Genomic DNA, 9,175 nt, shown 5'->3' on the forward strand with positions numbered 1-9,175 from the left:
TTTTTGTTTCTTCACGCTATTGCCACTGTCAGGAAAACTAAGAGCCACAAAATTCCTCTCTGCAAGCTCCTTCCCCGCTTTGTTTCTGATGAGTTTTGTGCCCGTGATACCACTGAGATTTATCCCAGAGACTCTTTAAATGTGCACCAAAGAAAAATCTATAATAAGAGAAAAGACAGTTAGCTAATACACTATAAAAAAGGTTCACTCCAATGAGTCAAAGAAATGGAAAAGTTGTAAGCACAACAAGGAGATACTACCCTTTGCTTTAAAATTAGGATGGATGTTTAAAAAATACTAACATGGCAGTATTCTGGTGATGGTGCTTCCAGACGAAAACCCTCTCTCGTGGGTAGCTGGGGCAGCATAGGTTGGAACTACTGTTTTTGGGACACGATTTGACAATATGCTTGCAATATTTGTCACTAGTCTTTCAAATATTCATATCTCTGAATCTACACCTGCTTCCAGGACTCGATTCTGAAAAAAATAGCAAATACTTTTACTCAATATAAAGCTCAATATAAAAAGGCTTGACTTGCAAATATGTTCAGCATTGTTTACAGGAGGGACAGCTTGACTACACTGAGGCCTGGGATCCACAGCCTGACCACATGGGTGCCTCTGCTGCCCTCAAACCCTCCCACACTTCACTTTGTTCTCTACGCTGACAATTTCACCCTTTTCCTTCCGTCTCAGAACTTCCACATGTTTTCCCTGCTTCCCTCTCTCTGCTGGTAACTCTGCAGGAGTCAAATACCAAGTGGATGAAAATTCCCCCGTTGTCTCAGCCTCAAAGCAACCAGACAACCCACTCTGTGCCTAAACTCTTTGCCTTCCCTCCTATTACAGCAAGGAAAGGGTCCCTGTTGTGTACTGAGTGCCCCATCCCTTGTCTCAGCTATCAAGGACTTTGCAATTATCTCCACTCTCCTAACTCTTTGCTCCCTCCCTTTCTCCTGGATCATTCCCAGGAGGACACAAAAATGTTCTAGCGTCTCCAAACTTTAAAATGTCCTCCCCTGATCTCGTTTCCTCCTCTAGGGAGCACTCCATTTCTTTGCTACTCTTTAGGGCCAAAAATTCTGAATGCTCAACCGAGCTTTCTTTAAGTCTAGATTCACTGTCTATGGTACTTTAATTCAGTACCTCCTCCGACCGCCACCAACTCACTCCAGCCAAGCGTTGCACCCAGCATTTTGCTGAGCTGCAGGTGACCACAGCTGGTTGTTTCCCCCTTCTTGAAGTACCTTCTCCTCTTGGCCCTTCCTACTCCTCTGGCCTCCTCTCCCAGTCTCCTGATGCTGCTCTTCCTCTGCACAGCCTCTGCATGGCATCTCGGTCCCAGGATTCTCCTTGATCTTCATGCCTGGGCCCTACCTCATCTAACTCCTTCCCTTCTGAGGTGACCCCCACCCAGGCTCATGACCTTAGGCACCATCCCTATGCCAGTGACACCCAGATGGACAGCTCCTCTCAACCCCAGCTCCAGGCTTGGTTATTCCCCCAACTGCCCGGTGTTTCTAGAATGGATGTTGAGCGTCTCAAAGTTCCCATGGCAGAAGGAGCCTTTTTGATTACCATCCTCTCCCTGGATCTAATTGTGTCTGTGACAACGGCAACGTCCACCCGGTTGCTTATGCAAATTACTGTAGATTCCTCTCGCCCTTTTCCCTATTCCCTTATACTCTGTCTTCCCCAACAGGAGGAGCCATGGACCTCCCCTCCAGCATGCAGTGTGTGCCTGGGATGACTGCTGTCCCCTCTCCGCCAGCATCACTCTGGTCCTCATCCTTCGCCTGGACCACGGCCGCAACCTCCCGCCTGGGCCTCCTGCCCTCTACAATCGAATCCTCCTTATATGGTAGCCAGTGTGATCTTTAAACAGTGGAATTCAAATCCAGTAACTCTCTCCAACACCTCCCCAGCACTTGGACCAGAATCCAGACCCCTTGACCAGCACAGGAAGCTCCTATGATGCCCCCCGCCTGACCCTGCAAACTCAGCACACAAACTCTCTCGCTGTTACAGGAACCTGCCAAGTGGGTCCCCACTTTAGGACCTTCACACTGGCCTTTCCCTTGCTCTGGAATGGTCAGACAGCTGCCTCCTTCTGCTCATCACCTCCCAGTTTAACTTTCGCCTCCCCAAGAGGCCTTTCCTGATCTGACCACCCCACTCGAAGTAAACACCAAGTCACTGTTGATGACTTCACCCTATTTTTGTTACTTTTTAATACTTCACAGTACTGAATTTCAGATGTATTCCTCTCTAATATTTTTCTTTATTTTCTTTTATTTTATTTTAGAGACAGGGTCTCAGTCTGTCTCCCAGGCTACAGTGCAGTGGTGCAATTATGGCCACTGTAGCCTCTAGCTCCCAGGCTTAGGTGATCCTCCCACCTCAATCTCCTGAGTAGCTAGAACTAGGGGCATGCACCACTGCGCATTTTTTGTAGAGATGGGGTTTTGCCTTGGTATTGAACTTCTGGGCTCAAGTCAGCTTCCTGTCTTGGCCTCCCAAAGTGCTGGGATTACAGGCATGAGCCACTGCGCTGGGCCTGATATTTTTCTTATTTTTCTCTCTTTCTCTCAATCTCTCCATCATCCACCTACCATTTTAATTTTGAGCATAAACTTTATGAGAGCTTTGTCTGCTTTGTTTGCTGCTGTATACAGAACAATGCGGGCCTGTTCTTTTACGAGTGTCATTTAGTTCCTCTTTTGAAATTATTATTCTACATATATAACGATATATTTACGTATTTTACATATAATGTTTCTATATTATTAACAGCTTAAAAAGGCAATTAAAAGTCAACACTGGAGAAAAATTTCTCTGAGCATACGTTTTCTTTCCAGGATAATATCTGACACAAAAGTAGACCAAATTAAATCCAGAGCAACGTCAAATCATGGCCAAGAGCATAAGCCCTATGGTTACAATCAGGTCCCTCTTACTAGCTGTGTGACCTTGGATAAGTTACTTAGCTTCTCTGGGCCTCAGTCTCTTCATCTGTGACTTAAACCAAACAATAGCCCTTGCTTTATAATTTTTTTTTTTTTTTTTTTTTGAGACGGAGTCTCGCTCTGTCGCCCAGGCTGGAGTGCAGTGGTGTGATCTCGGCTCACTGCAAGCTCCGCCTCCTGGGTTCAGGCTATTCTCTTGCCTCAGCCTCCCAAGTAGCTGGGACTACAGGCGCCTGCAACCACGCCCGGTTAATTTTTTGTATTTTTAGTAGAGATGGGGTTTCACTGTGTTAGCCAGGACGGTCTCGATCTCCTGACCTCGTGATCCGCCCACCTCGGCCTCCCAAAGTGCTGGGATTATAGGCGTGAGCCACCGCGCCCAGCCTAGCCCTTGCTTTAAAGGATTGTTCTAATGACTGAAAGACATAATTCAGAACCCCTTTCACACAGTACCCGTCATATAATAGGCTCCATAAATGTTAGCTTTCTCTCTTAATGGTGAATTGAGGTAACTTTTCGAGGCATGTAGATAGTGAGTTGCTTTAACCAGAGCAGTTTTTCAGAAACTAAATCCATAAGTTAGCTTATGTTATAGAAAATATAACAGCTGCACATTATAGAAAATACCTCAAAGAGACTCAGATGAATTGGACATTGATTCATGTCTTCATTCATTCCACAAATCTCTGGCAGGTGCTCAAGGCATGCCAAGCCCTTGATATGACTAAGGGGAGCACAGATCCAGTGCTGCGCTCAGGGAACTTGCAGCCTGGCCTTGGAAGGACAGAGACTCCTGGCTCAAGCCTCTGCCCTCCTGGAGCTCCATCAGCCCTCCCCGCCCCTGCACCTTGGCTCAGGCTGTGCTTGCTACGTTGAAAGCCCCCTGCCCATCTCATGAGAGAAATCCTGTCCCCAAAGCTCAGCTGCTAGAGCTCTTCCCTGGTCCCCATCTCCCTGCCCCACCTCCCCGCTCCACCTCCTGCAGCTGGAACTGCTCTTTGTTTCTTGGGAGTGCTCATTGCCCTGCATCTGCTTCTCTGTCACGGCTGCGCAAACACTGTATTAGAGCTATTTATGTAGGTATCTGAGCTCCCCAGACACTTCTTGAGGCTGGGAATCCGCCTCATTCATGTCTATTGCCTCAACACTGCAGCACCACAGCTGGTGAAAACTTTGCACATAGTAGGTGCTCAACAAATATTAGAATTAGCTGTGGGGAGCAGAGAGGACACAGATCTGCCTAGGGGCAGGGGAACATCACCCCATCGAACTGAGGTGAAGAGATGGTGGCTTTGATCACCTGATGAGCTATGCCTGTTCTGCCCATAATTCCAACTCTGTTACAGAGCATCATTTGTATACCAGCCCCTGTGCTAGGCACTTTATATACATCGTTTTGTTTTATCTCCCAACACCTGGCAAGTATTCTTTTTTTCATTTTATGGTGAGGAAACTGATATGGTTTTGTTGTGTCCCCACCCAAATCTCATCTTGGATTTAGCTCCCATAATCCCCACAGGTCATGGGAGGGACTCAGTGGGAGGTAATTGAATTATGGGGGAAGGTCTTTCCCATGCTATTCTCATGATAGTTAATAAGTCTCATGAGATTTGATGGTTTTATAAAGGGGAGTTCCCCTACACAAGTTCTCTTGCCTGCCGCCATATAAGATGTGACTTTGCTCCTCATTTGCCTTTTGCCATGATTGTGAGGCCTCCCCAGCCATATGGAACTGTGAGTCAATTAAACCTCTTTCCTTTATAAATTACCCAGTCTCGGGTATGTCTTTATTAGCAGCATGAGAACACTCTAATACAGAAACTATGGCTCTGACCAGTAGAATAACTTGTCCCAAGTCACCAGTGAGTAACTGGAAGAACCAGGACCTGAAATCAACTGTCTTACTCCATCATGTCAGGCACTGTGTGTGCAAATGACTTTTTGTTTTTAATGAGGTGCAATTCACACAACATAACATTAACCATTTTAAAGTAACAATTTGGTGATATTTAATATATTTACAATGTGTGTAACCACCACCTCTATCTAGTTCCAAAATATTTTCATTACTCCAGAATAAAACCTTGTATGCATGCTCTCCTAGCCCCAGCTGTTAGTAACCCAGATTGCTTTCTACCTTTATGAATTTACCTATTCTGGACATTTCATATAAATGGAATCATACAATAATGACATTTTATGTGTGGACTCCTTCAGTTCACTTTCTAGTTTCACACACATTGTAGCATGTATGAGCACTTCATTCCTTTTTATGGGTGACTAATATGCCCTTGTGTGGCTACATCACATATTGTTTATCCATGAATCTGTCAATGAATACTCGTGTTGCTTCCACCTTCTGGCTACTATGAATAAGGCTGCTATGAATGTGTGCATCCTTGTATTTGTGTAAGCCTCTATTTTCAATTGTTTTGTGCATACACCTAAGAATTGAATTGCTGGGTCATGTGGAATTCTGTAATATGATTAACTTTTTGAGGAACCTACACCATTTCACATTCCCACCAGCAATGCACCAGGGTTTCAATTTCTCCACATCCTCACAAACTTGTCAAATGATGTTTCATTATTATTTTTTATAAAAAATTTTAAATATTTATGACCAGGCGTGGTGGCTTATACCTGTAATCCCAGCACTTTGAGGGGCCGAGGTGGGCGGATCATGAGGTCAGGAGTTTGAGACCAGCCTGGCCAACGTGTTGAAACCCCGTCTCTACTAAAAATACAAAAATTAGCCGGGCTTGGTGGCGGGTGCCTGTAATCTCAGTTACTCAGGAGGCTGAGGCAGGAGAGTCGCTTGAACCTGGGAGGCAGAGGTTGCAGTGAGCCAAGATCGCACCACTGCACTCCAGACTGGGCGATAGAGCAAAACTCCATCTCAAAAAAAATTTTTTAAAAATATTTATTAGATAGTGTTTTGCCGTGTTGCCCAGGCTGGTCTTGAGCTCAGGCAATCTGTCCTCCTAAGATTCCCAAAGTGTTGGGATTATAGGCACGAGCCACCACGCCTGGCCCACATGAAGTTTTATTCATGATCTCATTTAGTCTCTCAACAACCAGGTGCAGTGGATGTCATTAACCCACCTTACAGAGCAAGAGAAGTGAACTTGGAAAAGGGAGGGACTTGCCCCAGGTCACACAGCTGAGAAAGGGCAGATTCCAACCCAGACCCTCCAGGATCCCAGAGCTCTCTCGCACTACCCCCAGCCCATCTCTCGAGAAAGCCCTGTTGGAAAGCCAGCTCTGTCCTAGTGTGGTCAGACTCCCACCATTTGGGATGTCAAGTGCACCCACATAGCCCTTGCCTTTCACCATCAATGTTCCTGGCGGGGCTGAGCTGCTGGGGCTGGGGCAGTAGACAGGGGGAGATCAGCACGCAGGCTTAGGCCAGGGTGATCCATCCTCCGCCCCAGGGGCTTCTGTGGGGTGGTTTGGGAAGGAAACCCATTAAGGTGGAGGGGCAGTGACATCCACGCAGAGCAGGCAAGGCTCTCGGGTGGGCTTTGAACTGGTGGTGAACTGTCCCACTCAGGTTGGGAGACCTCTTTATGCACAGCAGGCCACTGGGATACTTGTCTCCTGGAGGGAGGGAGCCTCGCAGGTCTGGGGTTTTTAAGAGCCTGGGGCCTGGGGAACCTTAATAAGAGTAACTGTGTAGGGAGCACCCACTGTGCTGGGCATACCCACCGTGCTCAGGACCCTGGCACTGTGCTGGATGCTTCCTGCCCATTGTCTGATTCCATCCCCCAGAGAATGAACGAGGTGAGATCGTGCTCCCCATCTCCCATGTGGGAAAATGGGCTCAGGGAGGGGGTAGGTTTCTCAGGGTCCCACAGTAAGTGCCATGATGGAGATTTGAACCCACACAGGTTTCCGACCTCCCCTGGACAGCACCGCTTCCCCCGGACCCGGCTCCCTCATCACCTCCCCTTGTTGCTGCAGCTCTGAGTTTTCCTCAGAACCCTGAGCTGTGTGCCCAGGAAGCCAGCAGCCACAGGCACGCCCTGAAGGCAGGGGGCCCTCAGTCTCCAGCCCTGGCCCACAGTTCCATGGCTCTCTTCCTGCCTTCCTCGCTCCCAGAAAGGCCTCTGCTCTCCATGGCCGCCCCAGCCCAGGGACCCTCCCTGCTGGGACACAACGACTGCTCTGAGGAGCTGCCATCTGGCCTAAACCTTGCGCCCTGACTTTTCTTTGAGGGGTCTGCCTCCAGGGAGATGTGGGGGCAGTAGCGACCCCAGGGACCGTCTCCCTCCTGGCTGTGAAGGGCTGTGACCCCACAGCTCGGGGTGTGGGTGGTTAAGGGGTCCTCAGGCTTTGGGGCTGAGCTGACGCTGCTCCCAGGGAGCCCCAGCAGGGGAGAGGGAGCTGGGGCTTGGCCTCAGACCTGCATGGATTCCAATCCAGCCTCTGCCACGTGCCAGCCGGGTGATCGCAGGGCACGTGCTTTTGCCACGTTTGTCGTCTCACGGGGCTGCTGGGAGGATGAAGTGGGGGTGACGCCGGCCCCTCTGTGCTCCCACTTCCATCTGCTTGTCAGGCCCTTCTGCCACCCCGCGGGGGTCAGGGCTAATTACTCAGTCTTGCTGGTGGGGAAACTGAGGCGTGGAGAGGAGATGGAACCCGCCCGCGGTCTGGGAGACGCAACCTGCTGCTGGACTCCATGGCTGGCTTCTTGACCCGCTGCCCTGGTACACAGCAGGTGCTCAGAAGGGGGTGGGGTGGGGGGCGGAAAGGAGCCTCCAGGGTGTCCACCCCAGCGGACTGCGCCTCCCAACCAGGCTAGGTGCCTGCAGAGGCGCCCGGACGCTTGGAGGCGGTGGGCAGCACAGGGACCACTCCTCCAGGCTCCGCTGTTCGCCACCTGCAGGCTGCTGCTGCAATACCCTGTGGAGCCAGGCAGCTCCTGACTCAGCTGGCGCCGCCCGGGCTGCGTGGGAACTCCCCAGGGGGCCTCCCGACCCCAGGAGGGGGGCGCCCGCGGGGGGCGAGGATGTCACGCAGCCGCTCCCGGGGGGGTGGTGGAATGGGGACGTGGGTGAGGCCTCTTCCTGGGAGCCCGCAGTGCTGCCATCACGTAGGGGCGAGGGCGCTTGCAGCGTCAGATGGGGGGTGCACCCTCTGGAGTCTGAAAAGCAGTTCTTCTAGCTTCACAGACAGGAACCAACTGATCCTCTGGTCATCTTCAGGGAGCAGTTTCTATTGCGTCTTGCATACCTCCTAGAACAGGAGTATCACCACCTGTTCTGCTTGGGGCCAGCCCTGGAATTTAGAAGTTCTTTCTTGGATAAAGTCAGAGACTTCCTCTCTATGACTTCTCTCTCTCAGGTTTACTTCTGCCCTTGGGAGACACTGGCCTTTTATTTTATTTATTATTATTATTATTTCACTGTAGGAAGGTGGAGTTCTACTATGGAGACAGACCTGCCTTCAAATTCTGGCTTTCTTCCTTAACAGCACTCTGATGGACCCCATCCATGGGGTCTCATGTCTCTCAGCCTCCACCTTGTCACTTATAAAATGGGGATGAGAAGGACTCCTCCTTGTGCTGGTCATAAGGAGTGAGTGAGAAGACGAAAAACCCCTAGTGCAGAGTTTGGCACATAGTAGGTGCTCAAGAAATAGTGACTATTGTTCACATTGATTCTAATTTCTTTCCCACATAACAATCCCTTAAAGTATTTACAGTTCTCCAGTGCCCCCTAAATCTACTCCCCAGGTTAGATGCATTTCCCTCAACATGCTTGGTTTCTGGAACTTCCATTTTCCTGTTTTTCTCCTCTGGAAAGACTCATTTTGTTCATGTCATTCATTCATTCATTCATTTGTCCCACAAACATACGTGAATACCTGACATGCCTAGTGCCACCAAGAAGAAAATGACACCGAGCCAGGCACTGTGGAGCGTGCCTGTAATCCCAGCTACTCTGGAGGCTGAGTGGGGTGGGGAATCACTTGAGCCCAAGAGTTTGAGACCAGCCTGGGCAATAGAGCAAGACCTCATCCTCTGCATCCCCCAAAAAGAAGAAAATGACACAGACCCTGCTCACTGTCTAGAAAGGAAAATTGACATCAAAAATTGAAAGACAATATCTAAAGTATAAAACAACAGAGTCCAGAAGCATAGCTAGAAGCGGGATGATGGATCTAGAGAAACATGGCCAGGTGCTTGATCTCAAGGCGCCTAT

The 9,175-nt window shown here is 49.3% G+C and overlaps 2 annotated features.

Annotated features, from left to right (window-relative positions):
- Nucleotides 6,860–7,561: an enhancer, noted in NCBI's record as "H3K27ac-H3K4me1 hESC enhancer chr14:94290479-94291180 (GRCh37/hg19 assembly coordinates)". NCBI's record gives its function as "activates a minimal SCP1, AML or CMV promoter by ChIP-STARR-seq in primed H9 embryonic stem cells {active_cell/tissue: H9 hESC(primed)}" and the evidence as "EXISTENCE:reporter gene assay evidence [ECO:0000049][PMID:30033119]".
- Nucleotides 7,562–8,262: an enhancer, noted in NCBI's record as "H3K27ac-H3K4me1 hESC enhancer chr14:94291181-94291881 (GRCh37/hg19 assembly coordinates)". NCBI's record gives its function as "activates a minimal SCP1, AML or CMV promoter by ChIP-STARR-seq in primed H9 embryonic stem cells {active_cell/tissue: H9 hESC(primed)}" and the evidence as "EXISTENCE:reporter gene assay evidence [ECO:0000049][PMID:30033119]".

Source organism: Homo sapiens, chromosome 14 (assembly GCF_000001405.40).
Source record: "Homo sapiens chromosome 14, GRCh38.p14 Primary Assembly".
NCBI lineage: Eukaryota > Metazoa > Chordata > Mammalia > Primates > Hominidae > Homo > Homo sapiens.